Below are 22,529 nucleotides of genomic sequence, written 5' to 3' on the forward strand. Positions count from 1 at the left end.
AAGACAAAAAGAAAAGACCTAAATAATCCCAGTCGCATCGCCTTCTGGAAGGAAATAAAAACCCAAGAAAGTTAAAGGAAGATGAAGCAAACAAGAAGGCTAGGAGATCAAAGAGGCAGAATTAGACCGTTTTAGACCAATAAATTTTTCCTGGGGTGACACACAGCAAGACGCAAAGAGAAAAGACCAAGGCCCCCGCCGCCGCCGTCTGTCTAGACTCAAGCGACTGAAGGGGCCAACAGAGCTGGTGTTTAAAGTAGAACCTGCCCAGTCCAACAGCCCGAGCAGGGAGCGATTTCGGGGATCGCGGGAAGGAACGCACTTCGCCAAGGGAGGGCCGGGTGCCCTCGCCACCGGCTCATTCCTGCTCCGGTTTTGCCCGATGCGCGTCCAGGAGGTTCTGGCAGGACGCACTGCCCCTCTGCCCCGGCCAAGGAGGATGCGGATACTGCCCGCAAGGCTTCGGCCTTTATGGACCCAAGTCAGCCAACTGGGCCGAGTCCTGCGGACACCGAAACCTCCCTTTCGTTTCCAGGCTTCCTTCTCCCCTCTTGCCCTCTGTGGTCTGATTTAAAACGAAAAGGTCGGATAAAATCAGGCTTTCAATAAGGCTTCTTTAACTGTGTGTTCTCTATTCATTGGTTCTCTACTTATTTGACTGAAAAGACACAAATGCACTAGGTTATGTGAGATAATTTTCACAGAAATACTCATTGACCCTCAGCCTGAAGCAGGCACATGTAGGCGGGTTTCTAATCAGTAGAGCTATGTTTAGATAGACATTTTCCACTGCCGTCCCTGAGCTTCCTTCCTACCTACTGGCAGAGCGTGTTCACTCTGCTTCTTGTTACCAAATACCAATATTTAAATTCAATTATGAAGGTAAAGCCAGCTCTAGGCAGGGAACAGCGCCTTCCAGAGATTTGGGTGGCAGGCAAATTGCTTCCTAAAGGTTTCCACCCTTGCCTCTCTCACCAGCTGCATCTGTTCCCCATCCAGTGAGTGAGTGATCCCTAGCCTGGGTGCAAAGACAAACTCGTACCTGTCGTGTACAAATGAGATTGGGTTGGTGCGGGGTCTTGCCTGGGTGAAGGTCCGCAGCGGGGAAGCCACTCCCAGGCTTCCCAGAGGAAAAGCAGACTCCCAGCCACCAGCCTGCCAAGGGCAAGGGAGGAGCCTTTGGACAGTCCACCCAGGCCTGGGAGACCCTGGGCGGCCTGCACCTACCTGAGGCCTCCGTGATCAGTGGAGAGACGCAGTCGCCACCGATCTGTGACTTCATTTATTTGTAGTTACACAAATCGAGCTTTCTCTCTGCATCCACGGATCTGCGACTTCACTATTTATTTGCAGTTAACATAAATTGAGCTCTCTATCTGCGGCTTGAATACAAAGCCACGGTTGACTCCCAGGGAAGCTATAAAACCCTTCTTACAATCAGACGTTGTGAAATTATATACGGAAATGTAATGAAGGTGTGTGTCTGTAATATCTGTATCTATCTATCTATCTATCCATATATATATGTATATGTATATATGAGATGAGAGACAGAGAGGGAGAGAGAGAAAGGAGAGATATTGTGTGTGTGTGAAAGGAAAGAGAGAACAAACACCCGGGAGAGACATCAACCAAAATCCAGTCCCCAGTTTTACAGCGTGAAAGCACTGGGATGCGGGTCGTAAACATTTTGTGGGCTTGGCGGAGACTATTACGACCCAAATAAATGCACTGTGTAGCGTGTTCACAGGGCTCCGGGGCCTTTCGAAAGGTTCTCTGTTTGCTTTTGCGTTTTGCCTCTGGAACCATTCGACATCCGTGGCTGATGCGCGCACCCGAGAGGAGGCCGAAGCGTGTTCCCCGCCTAGGGTCTGGGAGAGGCTGGGCCTGGATTGGGGTCCCCTCCCTTCTGGCCTCCTGATGGGTGAACGCCAGAGCAGCCTCGGTTCCTGTACAGCGGAGGGCATGCCGCGGCCAGAGACAGCCCGGGCGGCTTCCACACTGTGTGCGACACTTTTGGTGCTACGGTGTGATTGTTATATTAAACATCACATTAAAAAAATAACCAAAGCAGTCCCTGGTTTGTCCCCCAGGATTCTCCTCCCAGCCAACTCGGCCCGGCCCCTATACCTACAGTGGTCAGACACCGAGATTGCCTTTACGCCCAATTTTCACCGCCTAATTTTATTGTCTCGATTCAAGCCAGCCGAGTCCCGGGGTCCTGGCTCTGTCTTGGGTTCTGGCTCGCCGGGCCCTGACCCAGGTCGCAGGTTTCGGGGGCCTCCTGGGCGGCCGCGGACCCCGCGGTCACGGTGTGAGCCCTCGGCACGCACCGTGCACACCCTCTGGGCGGTCATCAAGTTCTGGGGCTGCAGGCGTTCCTCCTGTGTCCGCCAGTCAGCCGGGGCTCTCTGGCGCCTGGCTGTGTCAGGCCTGTCCCAGCTGAGGACGGTGACCCTGGAGCCGCGCCCGCGCCTGGAGCTGCAGCCCCGCGGCCGCCCGGACAGCTGCAGCCCGGCAGCACTGGGCCCCCGGGATGGGGTCAGGGAGGCGCGAGCGGTGAGGGTCGGGCAAGCCCCCGCCGATTCCTTGTTTCCCAGCGAGGCTTCTAGCCAGGCTTGAGCAGCCCAGAAAATATAGGGCGGCTGTTCACTAAAATCTGGGGCTCCCATTCCAGAAAGGCTCGTGTCAAGTCGACATCTTAGGAACTTCACAAGGGTCGCGGAGGCGGGAGATGGCGGCGCGGAAGCCTCTTGCATGGAGCCACACTGCCATCTGCTGGCCGCCGTTTGGTACTGCAGCCTCAGCTACCTCCGCCGGCCTGAGCTTTGGGAGCCGCCGGCTAGCCCACCGCACCCCACTCCCAAACGAGGGGCGTGGGCCTAGGTCCCGGGGAGTCTGCGTGGAGCCCGGAATCTACTGCAGAGGAGGCAATGCCAATAAAAGAGGTGTTTCCGCAGCCGCTTTATCGGCGGCAGACAGAACAAATGAACAAATGAAAGGGCTTTGGTGGAATATCCTAATTGGGGCTGGACAGTTGTAAACTCATTAAGGGACGAATTCCAGACAGTTCGCAGACCCGGCCTTTATGGCACACTCTTACTGCCTATTCTTTGAAGTTCCTTCTGTCTGCAACAACAGAGGGCGTCCCAACCTGGCGGCGGGGTGGGGGTGGGGGTTAGGGGACGCCTCATCCACCCGCGCCCTGGTTCCCCTTTTAAGCTTAGAACACATCCAACTTTGCAGAAGTCGTGGAGTGGGGGAAGGGGGTCGGGCGAGGGAAGCAAGGGGGTGGAAGCGAGGCCGAACCCTCCGGCCACATCTGGAAAGCGCTCAGGCCTCCGAAGTTGTGGCCGTTCCCCCCCCCCCGCCCCTCGTAGCCCTTTACACCCCATAAACGGTAACAGCCCTCATTTTCTTTTATGGCGCTTAGGGGCTCGTCAATTGCCTCAGCCCTGCCTCTGTTAGGCCTTGTGCTCGAGAGGTGCTTGCAGTGCAGGACCCAGATTCTCTTGGGCCAGGCTGGCAGGACTCCGCGGGGGTGGCGGGCGGTGCGAGGATGCAGGGCTTTGTTCCTTTGCAAGCCCCCAAAATGTTTGCCTGCATGGCCACGTTGGGCCGGTGGGGCTCCTATTTCCCTCTTCAGAGCCTGCTTAGAAGGCGGCTCCCAGCTCTCTATCCTGTCACCCTCTCCCCCTTTTCCTCACCAAGCTAACGAAGGCCCAGGTTTGGGAATTTTCTCGGGGGCACCAAGGTGAGAGTGGTCTTTCCACTGCTACTGGCCAGACCAGACCAGCTCCTCAGGGGCTTCTCCGCCGTCCCGCACATAGACACAAGGCCGGGAGCCTGGCTCCTCCGCCGGGTTTCCCAGCTTTTTCTCGCCGCCAGGCAGCTGGCCTGTTTGGGAGAGCTTAGCTCGGCGGACTGGTTGTGGCAGGTCCCGCTCCTGAAAGCCAGCCAGAGGCAAAATTGGGGCTCTTTCTCACCACCCCAACCCGCCCCTACCCAGAGACTCTACATAGGCTCCCCTGACCCAGAGAAGAAGGTGCAAAGAGCAGACCCGCAAAAAATAGAAAAGAATCAATATATTTTATTTGGCAAAAAGTTAAATATCATCTCAACACAACAATTTGGTCAGTAGGCCTTGAGGTAACTATTGCAAAATATACAGTGTAAGTTCAGTCTGATGGAAACCCCAGATTCATCAAGGATACAAATCTACAGTAGCCCAATGGCGGTTTCATAGTGTATAATTTATTATCAATAAAATTAACTCCGTTACAATCAGCATTCATTTCCTCCAATTAAAATTAAGCATAAACCCTAGGTAGTAACCTTCTGCACATATGTATAGCTCCGAATTTCCTCACTGTTCGTCTGGTGCAAAAACAATATTCAAGCTTGTCTGATTATGCATATTTTCTTTAATCATATAGATTATATATACAATAGACAAGACAGGACTATATAGATAATGGACAGACTTAAATGCCCGCATTTTTAAGGTGGAGAAAATGATGAATCTATGCATCCCCGAGAACACTTAAAATTTTTTTTTATTTCACTGGGAAATTCTTACAGCTACTTTACAATCATAGGTTAACAGCCTAGTTATACAGAAGACATATTCCACTACAGAGCTATACTCTATGCAACTGTTTTTTTCCCCTCATAAACAACCTGAGTTCAAATTGAATTCTATCTTCCACAATCACAATGGGTGCATCACCCAGTACACAGAAGTTTGAATCACAAAACATAATTACCACAATAAAACACAGTGTTCAAGTATCTTGGCAGAGCAATCTGCCGCACAAACTGCAAATTAAATTAACTACACAGACTAAAAACTATACAGCCTACCATCAACAGTTGTGCATTATAAAAAGGTAGTTTCTTTCCTTTTGTTTTAAGTCAGGAACAGGTAGATTTTTAAAAATATATATACAAGCTAACACACACAGCTATCAGCACTAATGCCCCCCCCTCAACTTTTCCTTTTTCTTATAGAAAATGGAAAGCTTACAATACCTCCTCCATCAAAGCGGCAGGCCTACGAGCCAGCCTGAACAGGGTTTGCCTTGGAAAAGATGTGGCCTGAGGTTTAGAGCCGCTTTGTGCGGGGATGGTGGAGGCTAGGGTGGGGGTGAGAGAAGGGAGAAGGCGGAAGGGGGACGGACAGTTCTTTCTTTTTCTCTCTAGCTTACCCTTTTTTCTAAATAAGCCCAAATGGCATCACTCGTCTTTTGCTCGGTCTTTGTTGATTTTCTTCATTTTCATCCTGCGGTTCTGGAACCAGATCTTGACCTGCCTCTCGGTGAGGTTGAGCAGTCGAGCCACCTCGTACCTGCGGTCCCTGGTGAGGTACATGTTGAACAGAAACTCTTTCTCCAGTTCCAGGGTCTGGTGTTTTGTATAGGGGCACCGCTTTTTCCGAGTGGAGCGCGCATGAAGCCAGTTGGCTGCTGGGTTATCTGCGGGGAAGAGAAACACTGGGTTTAGGAGCAGAAGACGCACATCCCGCTGGGGCAAATGAGCCTCCTGCATGGGGTCTCTGGCCGAAGTGCAGAACTCTGCTGAACTGGTTAGGAAAGGCAGTCAGGCCTCGGACACAATGGAACCCTGGCAGACAGACGCACAGACAGTCACTTAAAATTGCACGCAGTAAAACTTTGGCTCGCCCTCCCCTCCGAGACCTTCCTTTCTCCTACTCTGTCCTCTTGTCCCCCTTCTCCTTCCTCCCACTCTCAAAACGCTGTATAGAATGAAATTTGGAAACAGGTCTCCTTGCCACGCAGAGGGAAAGCATGCTGCCTTGTGTTCTGTAGCAAGATTAGGATTCCTCTGTCCCGTTCACTGACTTCGTCTTTCTTTCCCAACCTGTCCCTCTACGCCCCCCACTCCTTATTTAACCTTCCTGGAAGGCCTTCGGAGCTGGGCAAGCCGTCAGGGCGCCCTAAGGCCGCTGATCACGTCTGTGGCTTATTTGAATAATCTGTCATGGGGACCCTTGTGGCCCGGGTCGCCCGCAGCCTCATCTTGGCAGGATTTACGCCGCCACTGGCCGAAGGCAAGAAGTGGAAGGAATCGGCCGTCTCCCCCAGCGTCCCAGCTCCGGCTGCCCTGGCTGCCGCCGCTCACGGACAATCTAGTTGTACAAAAGGCTCTCTGGGCTGCACTGCTTTCGAAGAACGGCCCAAAGTATCTCGGTCCTGGGCCTGGGCAGCCAAGGAGAGGGGCGGCCAGTCTTGGCTCGTCCCGAAGTGCCCGCCCCGCCCCCTCTCGCTGCAGCAGCCGCCTCCTCTCCCGTAGCCCTGCGGGCCGCTCTTCACTGCTCTCCAGACTTGGGGCCCTATCTGAGGCGTCCCAAACACCAACTTCTGGCTCCTGGCCCCAACTCGAGAGGCTTCCAGCGAGGACGAAGGCAGGCTCGAGAGAAACCTGGCGGGCCAGCAGATCCGGGAGGCCGGCGTGGAGGCGGCGGCGGATTTGAAGGGAGGAGACACTTACTGGGATCGATGGGGGGCTTGTCTCCGCCGCTCTCATTCTCAGCATTGTTTTCAGAGAAGGCGCCTTCGCTGGGTTGTTTTTCTCTATCAACTGGAGGAGAACCACAAGCATAGTCAGTCAGGGACAAAGTGTGAGTGTCAAGCGTGGGACAGTCACCCCTTCTGGCCGACAGCGGTTCAGGTTTAATGCCATAAGGCCGGCTGGAGGGCAAGCCCGCGAAGGAGAGCGCACCGGGCGTGGGCTCCAGCCAGGAGCGCATGTACCTGCCGTCCGGCGCCGCCGCCGCCACGGGCGCCTGGGGGTGCACGTAGGGGTGGTGGTGATGGTGGTGGTACACCGCAGCGGGTACAGCGTTGGCGCCCGCCGCGTGCACTGGGTTCCACGAGGCGCCAAACACCGTCGCCTTGGACTGGAAGCTGCACGGGCTGAAGTCGGGGTGCTCGGCCAGCGTCGCCGCCTGCCGGGGAGGCTGGCCCAGGGTCCCCGGCGCATAGCGGCCAACGCTCAGCTCATCCGCGGCGTCGGCGCCCAGCAGGAACGAGTCCACGTAGTAGTTGCCCAGGGCCCCAGTGGTGGCCATCACCGTGCCCAGCGCCTGGCCCGCCCGGCCCGACCCACGGAAATTATGAAACTGCAGATTTCATGTAACAACTTGGTGGCACCGGGGGGGAAGTACAGTCACCTAATAAGTTGCCGGCGCCCGCGCCCCCATTGGCCGTGCGCGTCACGTGCCCGTCCAGCAGAACAATAACGCGTAAATCACTCCGCACGCTATTAATGGTCCGATGTTTTGCAGTCATAATTTTTATAGCAAAAGCCATATGTTTTTATGTAAAGGGATCGTGCCGCTCTACGATGGGGTTTGTTTTAATTGTGGCCAACGACGATTAAAAGATCAAATCTAGCCTTGTCTCTGTACTCTCCCGTCTCCCCCCCCATACACACACTTCTTAAGCGGACTATTTTATATCACAATTAATCACGCCATCAAGAAGGCGCGGGTCCCGCGTGCGAGTGCGGCCAGCGGAGCCCCTCACATAAAATTAGACAATAATTGAAGCCATAAAAAAGCAGCCAAATCGCATTGTCGCTCTACTGTATTTAAATCTATATTTATGATATTTCATAAGGAGTTATTGTTTCAGAAGCCACACAGGCTGGCGGGAAGTCGGAAACGACCAACAGATTCGTTTGCCTCGCCGTGGCTCCCAGCTGTAAAAATTTACGAGGACTTGGAAAGGTTAGACTGTTGTGTTTGGTTGGCGAGCTCCCTGTAAATAATCCCTGCGGTCCCCGGGAGAGGCGAGTTTACCCGCGGCCGCCCTCGAAAAGTCAAATTCAACGCAGGATCCGTCCCAAACGGAGCCGCCGCCGGCCCTACCAGGGCACTCCAGGCAGGGACCGGCCGCTCAGGGAGTACCGCGGGTGTAGGTCCCCACAGCTACCCGCCTGGAGCGAGGGGCGCCCGGGCAACCCTTAAATTCGCCTTTGCTACGAGGACCCCACGGAGGAGCTGGCCAGGAGGGAGCGGCCAGCCGCCACCAGGGCGAAGGTTTTGAGGGCCTGGTTGGTTGTGCGGCGCGCTCGGTCCCCGGCCCTCGACCCCACGCACACGCGCGCCCAGCCCGCCTTTCTCATCAGCTGGCAATCAGGATTCCCAGGCGCAGGCGGCTGGCGACCCAGCCCTGTGCTCCAGCCTCAGAGGCTCTAACCATGAGCGCTGCAAGCCTGGTTGCGCTCCGTGAATCCCAGCTGGGGAAAAAACTACAAGTGGCATGAATGGAAGGCAAGTTCGGTTTGGGAAAAGGCAGCCTCGCCTAAGAGACCCCGCAGCTCCGGAACCTGGGAGGCCCGCACCGATGTGGCCTGTCCCGGGGCCGCGTGAGCCTTTCAGGGCTCCTTCCTCCCTTTCCAGCTGCTACTCCGGGCCTCGCCTTGGTTACCTACGGGGCCCGGAGACTCGGCGGAGAGGTACAAGGCCCAAAGAGAGGCAGCCACAGCTCAAGGCCAGGGCTGGAAATTAGAACGGGGAGGGGTAAAAGGGCATCGACTCCAGTCCCATTCCTGGGCCTGGCCACGTTGGGGAAGTTTATTTCTCACCCGTTGGGGGTAAATTAAAAGGTCGCCGCCACTCCGTTAATTGGAAGGAAACTCCCCCTGCCCCCAATTCCTAACAGAAAGCAGCGACTCCTAGAACAGGGGTAATCAAATTCACGTGTGGATACTGTGCCTGCAACAGTGTGTTTTTCATTAGCCCACTTCCCTGGCGGCGAGGCTGGCGGCCTCGGGCGCTTCCATCTCTCTCTCTCTCTTTTGCCTTCATCCTCACCAGCAGTTCCAGTAATCCCCCCCTCAAACACCCTGACACACTTCCGGCTGGGACTCCCAAATACCAGCGAGGCTGCCAAGCCGCGCGGATACCGACTGGGTGCCCCTTCCTGCACCCGCGCCTGGAAGAGGGAAGTGGCCGACACAATGAACTCCGAAATGGCCCCGTCCTGTCCGCCTCATCTCCCTCCCCCTAATATTTTCCTTGCCCCATAAATTCCTCTAGGTCATGCCCACCCCCACCACAGTCCACCGTGTCCTAAATACCCCGCAGTCCGCCAGGCCTCTGAGATTTTCATTTAAAAAATTAACCCTGGAGGAAACCCTGGCTCCCAATTTTAAGTGTCTGCAAATGGGCTGGGCATGTCTGGATGCCTTTTCCACGTTTTATGCCTGAGAAGACACTGATTATTTCAGTATTTTTTAAGTAAAAAAGCTGTTCCTTTAAACAGCCTTAGCCCCAAAATAAGAGAGTTACTGAACAATTAGCAGGCGTTGAGTGTTAAGCAGATGTTACTGGTGCCTAGAAAGCGGAGAAAAATCAGAAAACCAAATATTGTCTTCCTTCAGCCCAAAGGTTTGGAGCCAGAATAGTCTGACTTTTTTGTCTGCTTTTATTTTCGAAGTGAAAGAGATTGCGTATGCATAAAGAAATAATAAATGAGTATAATTTAAAGCGGCCCCTTCTCGACTGAGATTTCTGAAACTGTGATCTCTGAAATAAATCCAATGCCCTGGTCCAGAAAATGGCAGGGAGGAGTTGAAGGGAATGGGGTGTGTGGTCCTTTCAGACAGCAGGTCGGTGGCTGTGCAACGAAAGAGTTCCTGGGCCTCCAGTCCAGGCAGGGAAAGGAAACAGCTTTGTGGGCACGAATCTGTAACTGTGTGTGTTGGGAGTAGGGAGAGATAGTTTGTTTTCTGTTTTCTGTAGGGAAAATGGTCAGACTGGCTCCCATCTGTAGACTACAATTTGGAACGATGACTCAAGTTTATATCAATGGCTCTGGAATTTGGGATTCTTTTTGCCCATTTAAAACATACTGGCTCTTGGAAGGGTCCCCTTCTCCAGCACCCAGCTGCACAAAGGTGCTGTATGGAACATATTTTGTACCTAATGGAAGCCACTAGTAAGCAAGCAGTCAAGCTTTGCCCTAGCCAGTCTCCCTCAATGCGGTCAAACCCCAAGCTGTGACCGGCAGGCCGGGAAGAGCCAGCTAAGAGCTTCCCAGCGAATGGCCAGGCTCCAGCGAGGCTGGTTGGGCCTCAGCTCCAGTCCCCAGTGAGGCTGGCGAAGGCCTCCCTGCCCTCGATATGGGCACACAAAGCTGCAGCGAATGTCCCCTAATCAGATCTCCTAGTCAGCCGTTAGCGACAGGCGAAGAAACGCAAGGCTGCCGCCATCCGGTCGTGATCATAACCGAGGCCTTGTCTGCAGAGTAACACACCAGGCCCAAACCCACCGCCCTCGGCAGCCGCCCCACGCGGGCCCTTCCTCGGCAGACTTCCCAACCTCTACTTGAGCCGCAGAGGAAAGTGAGACCCCCTAGGCTCTCCTGAAGCCAGCTCTGGGCCCCTCCCCAAGGATGCTTTGGGAAGGAGATAAGGAGGTGAGATAGAATCTGGCAGAGACGGAAGATGAAAAAAAGACCAACGGAAGAAAAGAAAGCAGGAAGGAGCAAAGGAAAGAAGAAAAAAAGAAAGAAGAGATAAAAGAGGAAGGGAAGACAGGGAAAAGAAGGAAGAAAAGAGAGGCGACTCCTAGCAGCGGCCGAGCTTACAGAGAGAAGGGTAAGTGACAAGGCCAGGATCCCAGCCTGCCCTATCCTTCCTAGTCCAGCCTGAGTCTCCACTGGAAGGAGGTTCTTTCCTGAGCTCACACCCGGGACTGGTGTGTGTGTGTGTGTGTGTGTGTGTGTGTGTGTGTGTGTTCCAGCCTTACAAGAGAATGGCAGGAGGTCCCTGGGCAGGCGCAGGCCTCCAGTGGGAGGCTCAGGATGGAAGCGGGCGCCCCTGACCTTGAATGGCCCAAAGCCCAGAATTCCTACCACGCCCCCGGCGTCCGCGAAGGAGCAGCCAACCTAACCCTACCTGCTGTGACCAGGTGGAGGTGTGTGGTGGAAGGGGAAAGCCGGCCGGCTGGCAAAGCGCTGCGGAGAAAGACACGAGGCTCCTGAGCAGGGAAAGCCGAGGTTGCCACCGCAGGCCTGGCACGACCAGGGCCGTGATGCCCCGCCCGGCCCGACCCCCGCGCGCAGAGGTACCTGGAGACGATTTCAACTGAAGTAATGAAGGCAGTGTCGTGCTGTCGAGAGAAAGGTGGATCCCAACAACAGGAAACTACCTAAATCACCGACCAGTTCTGGTGCTGCCCGCGAAGGGCTGCCTCGCCCGCCGCCGCCGCCGCCTCCGCCGCTGCCGCCGCCGCCAAGGAGAGAACCCTGCCATCGCGCCTGGCCCGGCCCAGCCCAGCCCCTAGGCAACCTGCGCCCGCCAGTGCAACAGAGTGCCCCAGGCGGCCGCAAATGCGTCAAGGAAGGGGAAGCCACAGGCCCCAGTAAGGTATTCCTGGGAGGGAGAGGGAGGAAAAGAGAGGGAGGAAAGGCAGGGAGAGAGGAATAAAGGCGGGGAGCAGGCGAGACGAGAGCAGCTCCGAGAAGCAGTGTGCGCGCCGCTTTCCCAAATCTTGCAGCCCAGCGAGCCGGCGCCAAGAGGCGGTAGCCGTGGAAGGCTCGAAAGCGCCAGGGACGGTACAGATCCCGGCTCCCTGTCTGGCCCCGGCCTCCCGCCTCTCGCTCTCCCCCTCTCCCTCCTAGCTGCCCGCCCGCCGGGGCGCGCGCTCCTGCGCCCCCTCCCCTTAGCCCCCGCCCCCCCCACTCTGGCAAGCAGGAAACGCGTGGCCCTAAGGAGTGCCGCCAGGTGGGGGAGGCCGTACTGGGGGAGGGGGAGGCCCCCATGCAGTCCAGCCCGGGTCCACCTAACCGCTGCCTCCAGCGGCTAGAGATGCGCTGTGGGCCAGGCCTGCTCCCCGATTCAGATTGAGGGTCATCTGTGACCCAGACACCCGCAAAATAACCGGCCTCTGCAAGCCTCCCTGGGGCTCCCGAAAGAAATCCTGTTTGGCTTCCTCTGTCTATGTAGCTCCCCTCTCAACTGAAATCACTGGTCCAAGACAGCCACAATCCAGATATACTAGCAAGCCATAAAACTGAACAAAAGCCGACAAACCTTACGGCACCAGGGCTATAGGGCCCAGACAAATTACGACCGTCTAGGTAATATTTAAATAGATGCCTAAAGTAATTGCAGGGGCTCGGGTTAGTCCTCCTGTTGTAAAAGTGGTGAACGGGATAAAGTGGAAGGTGAAGATAAGAAGTCAAAAAAGAGGTAAAATTAAAAAGCTTCATTCCACAGCTTTTATTCTATAAGAACATAAACATCGTCTTTTTCCACGCACAGCAGCAATACAATATTAATTTATTCTGATTTAAGATTAGAAGTAAATAGAGCTAGAACTAACATTTATAATAACGATAGAATGCATTTGCTTAAAACAAGATTGGCAATTCTTCATAATAATAGACATTTATACAGATTTGTATTTATAGTTTTTTTCTTTTTCTGCATCTACAGGTTTGACCCTTTTATGCATGTAACTTCACAGTATAAAGGAAATCCAAACAATGTCTCCCTTCTCTAGTTTATTCCGCTTACCCCAGTCCTCCTAGGCTTCTGTGAATTTCAGAAAGCAAAAACAAACAAAAAAAAAACTTTTTGTTCAAGGCGATTTAAAAAAACAACTTCACAAGATAGGGAGAATTGTGGTGTGCTTGTCACATGTTACCAGTGGTAACAATTTTAATGACAAAAAAATCCACTAATTCCAAATGCATAAACAAAACTACATTATTTATCTACAGCCAGAAGGATATGGAAATTTAGAGGTAAATGAAACATTTTAGTCAGGCAATGTAAGACCTTACAGAAACTGGAAGAGAAGTCCCCTTCTCTTGGTAATTCTTTTTTTTTCTTTTTAAAGCTGGGATATCTTACAGAGGAAGGAAAAATTAACCTTTTTTACTTTCTTTCTCACTTTTTAAATCAGCCAAAGTCAAGCCCGTTTGCCAACCTGCATGTCCATGCCTGTAAGCCCTTCTCTTGGCCAAGGAAGAAAGGAAGAAAGAAAAAAGAAACCCAGGGGCCTGTATCCCCTGATTAAACACAGCACAGCACTCCAGGCAGACATGCCCGGTGGCGGCTCCTTTGCACCATTGACCTCAGGCCAGACACCTCAGCGCCAACAATGGGACCTCGGCCTTCCGGCTAGGTTTGCCCCAGGCTGGGCAGGAAACCAGCTCGGCCGAAGACAGGGGCCATTTCGAGCAGTGGGACCCCAAGACAGCAAACCCAGCCCAGTCAGGACTTGACACTTAGGACAATATCTATCTCTATAGAATTTTAGCATGATATGGCTTTTTCCCCCAGAAAACAACAAATAAACCAGCACCAAGCAAACACAAAGAAACAAAAAGTCAGAACAAACCAGCCCTGCACAGATGTAACGGCCCAGGAGATGGCGAGTGTGGGAGGGAGGAACAGGGCTCCAGCACAGGTGCGAGTTCCTGGGCAGAGCCTGAAGACAGAGGGAGGGGACCAGCGCTCGGGAAGTGAAAAAACCGCGTCGCCTGGAGATTCATCAGGAAAAATTAAAGTTGGCTGTGAGCTCCCGGATCCGGTTTTCTCGATTCATTTTCTTCAGTTTCATCCTGCGGTTCTGAAACCAGATTTTCACTTGTCTGTCCGTGAGGTGGACGCTGCGGCTAATCTCTAGGCGCCGCTCTCGAGTAAGGTACATATTGAACAGAAACTCCTTCTCCAGCTCCAGTGTCTGGTGCTTCGTGTAGGGGCAGCGCTTCTTCCGACCACTCTTTGCCGTGAGCCAGTTGGCTGCGTTTTCACCTTTGGAATTGCCTGGCATGTAAGAGAATAAAGAGGGGATGATTAAGTCGAGGCCACACGGGCTGCCCGCGGGGGTGAATTGCCTCCGTTTCTCCCATAAGAGAGATGTCCCAAGTCACAGAGAAGAGAGTCGTGCCCCCGTTTTTGGCTTGCTGAGAGCAAGCAGTTCCTCCAAAAGTCATGACAAAAATTGAGTGGGCCTTCAATCTACATGACCCTTCCAATTTACATTTCCCCCACTTTTCCAAACACCTGTTTTAGCGCTAAGCCGTAGATGCTTGCAGAAGGAAAGGCCTGGGAGGGCAGGCTGTACATCTTGAACTTAACGCTTTTCTTTGCCTCTTGCCATATGGCAGACAAGCATTTCCTGTAGCCCCCAGGCTAGGAGCGCGGGGTGCTTACTTGGAAGATGGGCCAGGCAGCTTGGCTGTCTCACCCCAGGGCCCTGATTGCCCAAGACTCGATAAGGGGAGAAAGAAGGGCATCATTGGTCCAATGGGGAAGGCAGGAAAAACCGATTCGGGGGTCAAGGGCCCTCCCTCAAGTTTCTCCAGGAGCCAGGGATAGATAGCTGGGCGATTCCGAGGTCCAGGGGAAGGGAAATGGCCCTTCTCTGGCTCTCAGCTCAGGGCCCCCCGCTTCCAGGCCGGATTTGCCTTTTCTTCTTCCCGCAACGAAGATTCCCGCCCCTCAGCAACTTTGAAAAAAGCATGGGGGATCGTAAACTCGAACTTCGCCGGTTAATGGGCTTATTTATTGGCGCTGGCGGCTGCTTATTTTGGATGCCTTACAAACATCCGCGCTATCTGCGGGCGAGCTACTTTCCCTCCCTCCCCCTCCCCCCGCGTGGGCCGCGCCGCGCAGGCTGGGCAGGGACCAGGGCTCTGGGTCCTCCCGGCCACAGGAAAGAGCGCACAGGAGGGGGCCTGCTCGCTGGTGTCCTCGTCCCTAGTCAGGGGGAGCTGAGGCCAGCGCCGAGGACGTCTTGCTGTGGGGCGCTAAGCCGGACATGAATTTTACTGCGTCCCCACGCCCAAATATTAAAAAGCAAGTTCACAAGGTCAGCCTGCCTGCAGCTTGGGCCAAGGCCGGCCGGCTGCTGCGCGGGCTCCTAGTTTTCTGATCCTTCTCCTCCTTGTGTCTGCCTGTCTGCCCGCCTGACTGCAGCCCTCTGCAGCCCTGCTTACCCAGGGAATCCTTCTCCGGCGAGGCTTTGCTGCTCTCGGAAGGGGCCGGGGAGAGCTCCTCCGCGGCCGAGGACGACGCGTGCGCCTCCTCGTCGCCCTGCGAGCCCCCGCCGCTGCCGCAAGCCAGCGTGGGGGGCGGCGGCGAATCGAGGGCTCGCTCCTTCCGGGCCGCATCGGCCGAGCCGGAGGCTAGCGCGGGCGGGAGATCGAAACCGCGCCCCGGGGGCTGCGCGGGGAACGGGCCAGCCCCGAGTTGCTGCGCGCCGCCGCCGCCGCTGCCATAGCCCTTGGCGGTGCCGTAGGCCTGAGAAAGGCGGAAGTAGCCAGGCACTGGCACCCCGCTGGAGGTGCCCAGGGCGCAGCCGTCGGGCGGCGGGCCCCGCGGGAAGGGAGCCAGTTCGGCGGCGGTGGCCGAGACTTTGGGGCATTTGTCCGCCGAGTCGTAGAGGCAGTAGGAGCTCTCTTCTTTGATGTTCTGCGCGAAAGAGCACGAGGTGGCCTGCGGCGCTGGCTGGGGTGGTTGCGGCGGGGGCGGCGGCTGCTGCTGGGGCGGCGGCGGCGGCCCGTCAGGCGGCTCCATCCGGCAAGACCGGGGCGCGTCTAGCCACAGGTCTATGGGCGAGGGCCCGTAGCCGTGCGCCCCGGGACCTAGACCCCCGCCACCGCCACCGCTGCCCGGCGACGCTGCCTCATTGCGCTTGCCGCCCAGCGTGGGGAAGAGCCCGCAGCTCTGCAGCCCGTAGGGCAGGTCGGCGGCGGGCGGCAGGTAGACCCCGCCGTGGGCGTAGTAACCGCCACCGCCGCCGCCCCCCGCGCCACCACCACCGCCGCCTGCCTCGCCTCTGCCCGAGCTGATGAGCGAGTCGACCAAAAAAGAGTTCGCGGCGGGGCTCTCCGAGCATGACATTGTTGTGGGATAATTTGGCGAAGGGAGCAGATAGCCCTTTCTGGCTGACATTTCTTGTGCAAAACATGCTGAATACGATTAGCAATCCCCCCGCACCGCGGCGGGCGCCCGCAGCCAATCCCGAGCCAGAGTTTCCGCGCGACCACTCCCAGTTTGGTTTCGTAGGCGCGGGGCCGCTCTCCGAGGGCGCCCTCAGAGCCCGCGATTGATATAAATATGTAATCTGTATTGATGGGCCAGGAGACGCACCCCGACACCTTGGCCCGAAGGCCGGGAGCTGTGGGGGCTGCCCCAACGTGGCTGGTGGGGGGCCTGGCCATTGGGCTCGCCCCGCCCCTACCCGGACGTGAGCCCCATACCGGGGTCCCTTAGAAGGGCCCTTGGGCCCCGCGCAGTTAACAAGTGGGGTGTTTATGGTGCGCGCCCAGTCTGCCTTGGGTGCTCACCATCCCTGTCGCAGAAGCTGCCACTAGTCCCCGGTGTACTCTAACCACTGAAGCGGCCGTGTCGGGGACTCACGCGCTTCCCATTCAGCTCTGGATCTGGAACTGGCCCCTTGTCTGAATTCTGCCTCCTCAAAAGTGGCGAACCTGGCCCTATGGCCGTCAGGATCCTCAGAGTGTCAGGAGCCCAGAGTGAACTAGAAGCTGACTTGCCTCTACTTCCAGTATCCACAGATTTTTCCCCAAAATGCAGTGGTTGTTCCCTAGCCCCTAACCCCCAACACTTTTCTCCCCTAGTCCGTTGATCCAGTTAGGATCTTCTCCTCTGGTGTTGTGCTCACCCGGCTTGCCTTCTCTACAACTCCTGTCAGTGGACTTTGGTGGGCTGGCGGGACTGGGGGTGGGAAGCGGCTGCCAGCCTTGATGGAAAGACGGCCCCACTCCCACTCCCAAGGCCAGAGCCAGATCCAAGCATCCCCTCATCACCTAGGGAAGACTCTAAGCCCACAGTCATTTCGGGGAAGTAAAATGCTGGCCTTGGGGTCCTTGGCTGGCCCAAAGTGAGAGACTTGGAGGGGTGTGCCCGGTGTACACCTCCGCTGCTTTATGTTCCTGCTCTCCTGTTAGCTTTGGCACTCATATGCTCCTGGAGGCTACAACAAGAACCAGTGTCACTACACTCCTACCTCTCTGTCCCCTCCCCTCTTCCCCTCCCTCCCATACCCTCAGCTAGGGCAGTCCTTGCTCCTGCAGTGTGTGCATTTTAACGAGGCCTCGGTGAGGAAATCCTTTCCCTGCAAGGCCGGGCTGGGCTCATGGTCCTGTTATAAGAGCATGTGGAGGTCAGGCCCTTTGCTCAGCAGGCTCAGGGGCTCTGTTTTAGCCAACTGGAAATGGCCGGCCTGGGGTGCTAGCCCCCAAGTGTGAGCCTCATGCTAGTCTCAGGAAATGCAACCTTTTCCGGCCAGATCCAGTGGAGCCCGGGAGGTCGCTGCCTTGCCCCTGGCCCGTGGGCTACAGGTCTCCAGGATACTCTAGGCCTGCCCGCCCCTCCGGCCCCAGTCGGAGCTGGCATTACTGAACGCCGGCATCCCAGGAAATAGACCGCTCAGGCCGCTGCCTTCAGCTGGGAAAGACTCTTGCATCCGGGTCATACGCGGCACTTTGCCTCCTTCCTCCCAGTGTGAATCCAGCCCAAGGTGGAAGAGGAGCCTGAGAGGACCCTGAAAGCGCAGAGAGAGCTGGCTAGGTAGAGCTCCAGCTCTGGCTTCTGAGATTCAAGCAGCTGCGGTCGCTGCGGGCAGTGGCTGCTCCGAGCTCCGGGCCCAGAAGGCCGCTCCACCGCTAGCGCGGCGCTCCAGCCACTTCAACCTCGGCGCCCCACGGTGACCCGGCCGTAAGGACTGAGCATCAGGGTGCGGAGGAGGAGGATGGAGAGAAAAAGAGAGAGATAGAAGGAGAGACGGACAGAGGGAGAGAAAAGAGAGAGAAACAGGAGGGGAGAGAGAATAAGAAAGCCAGTTCTCTCCAGCCTGACAGGGTCTTGAAGCTGCAGCAGCGGCTTTAGAGGGATCAAGACAGGGTCTGTGCCAAGAGATCATTAACTCTCCTTCGCTCTTCGCATGCTCCTGCGCCCAAGGCCAAGGCAAATTCTCTACCCTCTAGGCCCATGAGACGGACGAACCTGAGTGCAGAAAAGCTTCAGAGCACCGCAGCCAGTGGCCCTATCTTTAGCTTCCCGGATCTGCCTGGTCCTTACCCTGCTCACCAGAAGGGTGGAACTGGCTGGGACTGTTGCCCTTAGCAATGCCACCTGGAAATGCCACAGAGCTGGGGGCTGCCTAGGAAGGAAGCTTTGCTCTTCAGCACTGCCCATGCCTCTCAGAAAAGCTGTGTCATTTGGCAAGTGGGTCCCAAGACCTTCGAGGTTTCCTCAAGGATAATGAGCCGTGGCAGGTCAGTGGGCCAGGACCTGGGCCTAGAGTCATGCCTCTCCAGGCTAAATGCAGAAAGCAACTTCCCAGGCCGACATCTGGGAAGGTCCAGTATATATTTGAGATAGTGGAGGCTATACAAATAAAGTAAAAGACAATGATCTTAACCTATCTTTCCTAACCTTTTAGGGAGTCAGGACCCTTCTGGAAAATCCAAGTAAGTTTTGACTCATTCTGTGAAAAATGCATATCTGTATATTCCCACAATTTGATCCATCATTTCGAAGGAGTTCACACACCCCTCAGTCTTTTCCTTGGGTCTTCCAGAGTCCCCCAGTGTCCTGGGACTTGGGGGCCCTGCCAATTTGGCTGGCAAGACAAGCTGGGTGCCCTGCAGCAGACAGCTCAGGTCAGGGCCCCGTAGGGCAGCCAAATGGGCTTCTAGGCTGGATAGAATCCAGGGACCTGCACGTGCCAACCAAGGTTACAAAAGTCAGTTTGTATCGCATCTGCTACAAAAGGCTGCCCCAGCCGAAGAGTAGAGGAGCTGGGAGGCCTGCTATGGGCCTCGCAAGCCGTGGCGTTGGCACTTGGGTCTTCAGTGACCTTTCTGTGGTGAGCCAGATGTGTTTCTTTAGTATGACTTTTTCCCCCTTGTAATAAACCAAACGGGATGTTGGGCTTGAGCTCCTTCTGGCTTTTAAAAAGAGTGTGTAAGCTCATGTATGGCAGCCCCTCTCTGGCCCAGGACTGCCTTCCAACTCCCACCAGGGCTTGCTGAGTGGGAAACGCAGCGAGACACTGCCGGTGAGCTGGCCGGCTGCAGGCGGGCCGGCTGCTGCTGGTTCAAATGAGAGGATACTAACGCAGCAGAAGCTCAAGTTAAACGCCTCCTTGGCCCTCTCAGTTGGTCTCCTAGCCCCCAGCATCCCTGACCGACCCCCAAGGCTCCCATGCTCTCTAGACTTTAACACTGGAGTGTTAGGTTTCTCAATAAAATATTCCATTTATTGAGCGCCTCGGCTTTCCTGAGATTCCCCACCCCAAGAGATGAAGAAAGCGATTCAGTTGTAGTGTGGGTCGGCTTCCAAGCACTTTTCCTCCCTCGTGCTCATTTGCCTTCTTTCTTTTTTGCCATTCTTCCCAGCTACTAAATTTCTCCCTCTCCCTCAGGGTAACTTTGACCTAAATCTTCAGTGCCTGCTTGCCTCAACCAGGCCTTATGCAGCGGTTACACAGTCACCTCCAGAGCCCATGTTTTATTTAGGAGGAAATATTGCCCATTTCTACCCGGGTAATAACCTGCCAGCCCTATGGGGCCAAAGTAAACACCAGGCCCATGGATTAAGGCCTTCGGCAAGGATTAGGCTGCAGTTCACTAGGTACTCCTTCTGAGTAGGCCCTTGTAAGCAGTGAGAAATAAACTATTATGAAAAACAAGTTCCTAATGAAAAGATACCAGGTCCTGAGATCGAAACTGCTAGTAAACAATTTATATCTGGAGGGCACTCTCAATGCTTTCAAGACTCTGAATTATCCAGCGGTGGAGTTGGGCTGCAGTCCCACAGAGGAAAAATAAAGGCTGCTTTTACATATCTGGCTTTAGCAAAAAAAGAAAAAAAAATCAGAGCTTCTCATATCCATGCATTTATGCATAGTTAGAAAATTTTTCCACAAGCAATGATGTTCTTTTCCCATTCATCTTTAAGAATGTCAACATTTTCAGGGATATTTGATGTGTCTGTTTTGAATCTATCAGGTGCAATCTATTACTAAACAACATACTTTTAAAGTTTTCTAAATCCAACCATTAAGATGGCCCTTCCCCTGTTAGGGAAGTGTTGGGGCCTTTTCACACACCCTTTGAATTGCAATATTCTTAGATTTGTTCATAATAAACAGCCTCTGGCCTTAGAACTGGAGGCGGCTCTGGCATTGTAGGGAGGGCTCCCGCTGCAGAGAGCAGCTCACTGGGTGGGCGCTCATTTCTTGCCTTGTTGCTTTGCTCCGTCATAGTTTGGGAGCCAGCCTTCAACAAAGACTAGTAACTATGATAGGCAAAATTTACGCAACAAACAGGCAGTGCCTACTTTCTCTGGGATTCACCCCACTCACCACGCACTGTATATTTGGGAAAAGAAAAAGATGTGGGAAACTAATGGAAAAATAGTAGAAAAAATTAAATATAGGAGAAAGAGGGAATTTGAATCGATCCTTCAAAATGTAATGGAATTTTTTCATTTAAAATGTGTTTGATGACAACCCCAATGGAGTGATTGCTCCGTCAAAATTTATCCTCGGTTCCAGCTTTTTAAAAAAGTATTAGTATTTACCAATACATTTTTGCATATTTGCAAAATATCTTCTACAAAAGATCTAATTTTCATATGTAAGAAATTGCTGCGAAATTGCAGCTGGGTTTATAACAGCGTACTCCAAGTATGCAACACAGAGACTTGTCTGGCACTCTCAAAAATCACATGCGACTTCTCCGAATTGGCCTTTTTCGGAACAAAGGTTTTCTCCAAGCTGCCGGGCAGACATAGAGATGCACCTAGTAGGAAACCAGTGACCTCCAGGACTTCTGCCCCTGGGAATAAGCTCGCCTTAGCGGCCGCAGACTTCTACCACCCCATTGTTTAGAATGGAAACTTTGTTTTCCTCAACCCGCGATCACCTTTTTTTTTTTTTTTGCCCTCCCACAACCCCCTATCGCAGCACAGCTGGAACACTTTCGCCTAGATGCCTCTCATCCCTAGCCCATTCTATTCTGTGTATTTCTACAAAATCGAAAGATTCGCCTTGAGTGAAATGCTGGCGCAAGGAGCTAAAATCCTCAACTTTTCTACTTAGGCCTCCCCCTGCTTTCCAACCTTAGGGAGCAATGGGGTGGGGGCTCCCTACCGCGTCACCCCACAAACCCAGCCACGTTCCCGAGAGCCCTGCTTAGACATCGGCCACCTCCCCACTCCCGCCCCACCAGACTGAAATTGCTAAACTTGTGGCCTCTTACCTTGACACATTTCCGAAATCACTGCCAAGGGACAGCTGGCTTCTCCGCGCGGCGACGCTCGCGAGGCCTAGCGAATGCGCGTTGCTTTAAATTACCATACCAATCACTTCTTGAGGGTGAGTCCCCTTTTTCTGTTATGAAGGGGAGCGGGACAAGTGAAATAATGTACCGTGCTGCTCTTAGTATCAGAAGCGAACAAAGGCCAAGAATCATGCTGGGGTTCCCGGCTCCCCGGCGGCTTTGACATTGATCGGAAGTGCGCCATCTCGTGGCGGCTGCGCGCCTAGGTTGGGCCGGAGTTCCAGCCCCGAGCCGAGAGACGGAAACCAGCTCCGGGCAGAGAGAGAAGGAGAGAGGAGAGGATGTGCCCAGCCCGCTGCTATTGAGATCTCATTTTTACATCTAAGAAATCGCTGCAAAACCCCAGCCGGGTTTATAGCGGCGCATTCCAAATATGCAAATTGGCCGGCCCCGGACGGGTTTACGACCACATTGTCACAGCCATCGGAGGATGGGCTTTTATAGGGCTCAGAAATCAAACCCGCGCCCGCCCGCCGCCCGCCCGCGAGCAGTCCTCCTGGCTAGACTCTCTCTAGCAACTTGAGAGACTTTGGTTAATCTTTAACCATCCCAAAGGAAGTCTTTCCCTAAACCCAGGCTTCCCAGCCCGCCCCCTCCCTGCCCCCCAGGAGGGCCCTTGTTCATGTCTGCGTGTCTGCCTATCAACCTAGACATTCATCTCTAGATCTGTCCCACTACCCTTTCAGCTCGATTTCCCCAGTCGCGCCAGTTAGACAAACACACAAACAAATAAACAGAGTGGGGTCTGGGGCCTCTCTCCAAATGCGACCCTATCTGCTGCTCTGGCCCTGCCTGGGTGGCTGAAGAGAGGGTGGGGTGGGCAACAAAGGGCTCTGTCCTTTCAGCCCTTCTCCTCAAGGTTATGGGTGATGTCCAATTTTAAGGCAGAAGTTCAAAGGCAGCAAACAAAGAGGAAATCGGCATCCTTTTTTTTTCCCCCAAAGGGAAAAAGCAGCCTCAGCTGGGAGCTGGGGAGAAAGCACCCTTAGAGGCTCCTGGGAGTCTGCTCTGCCTTGGAACCCAGACCAGGCTCCCTCTTGTTGAAGCCTCCACGGGCCCCCGGACGGTCCCACTGCAGGCCTACCTGTCCTGAGGTGAGCGAGGGCAGCCTGGGGTCTGACCTGTTGGCCACCTCAGGCCCCAAGGCCCTCTCCAGGGCTGAGATCAGTC

At 54.6% G+C, this 22,529-nt stretch overlaps 3 protein-coding genes, 1 long non-coding RNA gene and 1 other non-coding gene across 6 annotated transcripts, besides 13 other annotated features; 1 reads left to right on the plus strand and 4 right to left on the minus strand.

The window, feature by feature from the left end:
• Nucleotides 2,135–2,820: an enhancer, noted in NCBI's record as "H3K4me1 hESC enhancer chr7:27200121-27200806 (GRCh37/hg19 assembly coordinates)". NCBI's record gives its function as "activates a minimal SCP1, AML or CMV promoter by ChIP-STARR-seq in primed H9 embryonic stem cells {active_cell/tissue: H9 hESC(primed)}" and the evidence as "EXISTENCE:reporter gene assay evidence [ECO:0000049][PMID:30033119]".
• Nucleotides 3,695–4,194: an enhancer, noted in NCBI's record as "H3K4me1 hESC enhancer chr7:27201681-27202180 (GRCh37/hg19 assembly coordinates)". NCBI's record gives its function as "activates a minimal SCP1, AML or CMV promoter by ChIP-STARR-seq in primed H9 embryonic stem cells {active_cell/tissue: H9 hESC(primed)}" and the evidence as "EXISTENCE:reporter gene assay evidence [ECO:0000049][PMID:30033119]".
• On the minus strand, nucleotides 4,071–7,170 carry HOXA9 (homeobox A9). Its single transcript, NM_152739.4, has 2 exons — nucleotides 6,511–7,170; nucleotides 4,071–5,474 (listed from the first exon to the last, which is right to left on the minus strand). Exons 1-2 carry the CDS (start codon nucleotides 7,088–7,090, stop codon nucleotides 5,236–5,238), a joined length of 819 nt encoding a protein of 272 aa, NP_689952.1. The 5' UTR covers nucleotides 7,091–7,170; the 3' UTR covers nucleotides 4,071–5,235.
• Nucleotides 4,071–21,872, minus strand: HOXA10-HOXA9 (HOXA10-HOXA9 readthrough). Its single transcript, NM_001433944.1, has 3 exons — nucleotides 21,279–21,872; nucleotides 6,511–6,600; nucleotides 4,071–5,474 (listed from the first exon to the last, which is right to left on the minus strand). Exons 1-3 carry the CDS (start codon nucleotides 21,286–21,288, stop codon nucleotides 5,236–5,238), a joined length of 339 nt encoding a protein of 112 aa, NP_001420873.1. The 5' UTR covers nucleotides 21,289–21,872; the 3' UTR covers nucleotides 4,071–5,235.
• Nucleotides 4,695–10,874: a mitotic recombination region, noted in NCBI's record as "NUP98-HOXA9 recombination region recombines with the NUP98 intron 12 (HOXA9) recombination sub-region of the nucleoporin 98kDa recombination region". NCBI's record gives the evidence for it as "EXISTENCE:Southern hybridization evidence [ECO:0000078][PMID:8563754]".
• Nucleotides 5,706–6,583: an enhancer, noted in NCBI's record as "H3K27ac-H3K4me1 hESC enhancer chr7:27203692-27204569 (GRCh37/hg19 assembly coordinates)". NCBI's record gives its function as "activates a minimal SCP1, AML or CMV promoter by ChIP-STARR-seq in naive H9 embryonic stem cells {active_cell/tissue: H9 hESC(naive)}" and the evidence as "EXISTENCE:reporter gene assay evidence [ECO:0000049][PMID:30033119]".
• Nucleotides 6,584–7,460: an enhancer, noted in NCBI's record as "H3K27ac-H3K4me1 hESC enhancer chr7:27204570-27205446 (GRCh37/hg19 assembly coordinates)". NCBI's record gives its function as "activates a minimal SCP1, AML or CMV promoter by ChIP-STARR-seq in naive H9 embryonic stem cells {active_cell/tissue: H9 hESC(naive)}" and the evidence as "EXISTENCE:reporter gene assay evidence [ECO:0000049][PMID:30033119]".
• Nucleotides 8,309–9,027: an enhancer, noted in NCBI's record as "H3K4me1 hESC enhancer chr7:27206295-27207013 (GRCh37/hg19 assembly coordinates)". NCBI's record gives its function as "activates a minimal SCP1, AML or CMV promoter by ChIP-STARR-seq in naive H9 embryonic stem cells {active_cell/tissue: H9 hESC(naive)}" and the evidence as "EXISTENCE:reporter gene assay evidence [ECO:0000049][PMID:30033119]".
• Nucleotides 10,217–10,807: an enhancer, noted in NCBI's record as "H3K4me1 hESC enhancer chr7:27208203-27208793 (GRCh37/hg19 assembly coordinates)". NCBI's record gives its function as "activates a minimal SCP1, AML or CMV promoter by ChIP-STARR-seq in naive H9 embryonic stem cells {active_cell/tissue: H9 hESC(naive)}" and the evidence as "EXISTENCE:reporter gene assay evidence [ECO:0000049][PMID:30033119]".
• Nucleotides 10,532–13,548, plus strand: HOXA10-AS (HOXA10 antisense RNA). Its single transcript, NR_046609.1, has 3 exons — nucleotides 10,532–10,626; nucleotides 10,940–11,397; nucleotides 12,941–13,548. It is a non-coding gene; the product is annotated as an HOXA10 antisense RNA (long non-coding RNA).
• Nucleotides 10,808–11,398: an enhancer, noted in NCBI's record as "H3K4me1 hESC enhancer chr7:27208794-27209384 (GRCh37/hg19 assembly coordinates)". NCBI's record gives its function as "activates a minimal SCP1, AML or CMV promoter by ChIP-STARR-seq in naive H9 embryonic stem cells {active_cell/tissue: H9 hESC(naive)}" and the evidence as "EXISTENCE:reporter gene assay evidence [ECO:0000049][PMID:30033119]".
• Nucleotides 11,113–11,196, minus strand: MIR196B (microRNA 196b). The gene has a single exon (NR_029911.1). It is a non-coding gene; the product is annotated as a microRNA 196b (primary transcript).
• Nucleotides 12,238–21,494, minus strand: HOXA10 (homeobox A10). Of its 2 annotated transcripts, none has more exons than NR_037939.2 (2): nucleotides 21,279–21,494; nucleotides 12,238–13,806 (listed from the first exon to the last, which is right to left on the minus strand). NR_037939.2 is itself a non-coding variant. In NM_018951.4 (2 exons), exons 1-2 carry the CDS (start codon nucleotides 15,937–15,939, stop codon nucleotides 13,532–13,534), a joined length of 1,233 nt encoding a protein of 410 aa, NP_061824.3. In that variant the 5' UTR covers nucleotides 15,940–15,953; the 3' UTR covers nucleotides 12,238–13,531. The 2 variants fall into 2 exon arrangements, 1 of the variants encoding a protein (NP_061824.3); NM_018951.4 differs by lacking the exon at nucleotides 21,279–21,494 and adding an exon at nucleotides 14,982–15,953.
• Nucleotides 13,153–13,652: an enhancer, noted in NCBI's record as "H3K4me1 hESC enhancer chr7:27211139-27211638 (GRCh37/hg19 assembly coordinates)". NCBI's record gives its function as "activates a minimal SCP1, AML or CMV promoter by ChIP-STARR-seq in naive H9 embryonic stem cells {active_cell/tissue: H9 hESC(naive)}" and the evidence as "EXISTENCE:reporter gene assay evidence [ECO:0000049][PMID:30033119]".
• Nucleotides 15,361–16,007: an enhancer, noted in NCBI's record as "H3K4me1 hESC enhancer chr7:27213347-27213993 (GRCh37/hg19 assembly coordinates)". NCBI's record gives its function as "activates a minimal SCP1, AML or CMV promoter by ChIP-STARR-seq in naive H9 embryonic stem cells {active_cell/tissue: H9 hESC(naive)}" and the evidence as "EXISTENCE:reporter gene assay evidence [ECO:0000049][PMID:30033119]".
• Nucleotides 16,008–16,653: an enhancer, noted in NCBI's record as "H3K4me1 hESC enhancer chr7:27213994-27214639 (GRCh37/hg19 assembly coordinates)". NCBI's record gives its function as "activates a minimal SCP1, AML or CMV promoter by ChIP-STARR-seq in naive and primed H9 embryonic stem cells {active_cell/tissue: H9 hESC(naive and primed)}" and the evidence as "EXISTENCE:reporter gene assay evidence [ECO:0000049][PMID:30033119]".
• Nucleotides 20,772–21,374: an enhancer, noted in NCBI's record as "H3K4me1 hESC enhancer chr7:27218758-27219360 (GRCh37/hg19 assembly coordinates)". NCBI's record gives its function as "activates a minimal SCP1, AML or CMV promoter by ChIP-STARR-seq in naive H9 embryonic stem cells {active_cell/tissue: H9 hESC(naive)}" and the evidence as "EXISTENCE:reporter gene assay evidence [ECO:0000049][PMID:30033119]".
• Nucleotides 21,375–21,976: an enhancer, noted in NCBI's record as "H3K4me1 hESC enhancer chr7:27219361-27219962 (GRCh37/hg19 assembly coordinates)". NCBI's record gives its function as "activates a minimal SCP1, AML or CMV promoter by ChIP-STARR-seq in naive H9 embryonic stem cells {active_cell/tissue: H9 hESC(naive)}" and the evidence as "EXISTENCE:reporter gene assay evidence [ECO:0000049][PMID:30033119]".

This window comes from Homo sapiens, chromosome 7 (genome assembly GCF_000001405.40).
Source record: "Homo sapiens chromosome 7, GRCh38.p14 Primary Assembly".
NCBI classification, from domain to species: Eukaryota; Metazoa; Chordata; class Mammalia; order Primates; family Hominidae; genus Homo; species Homo sapiens.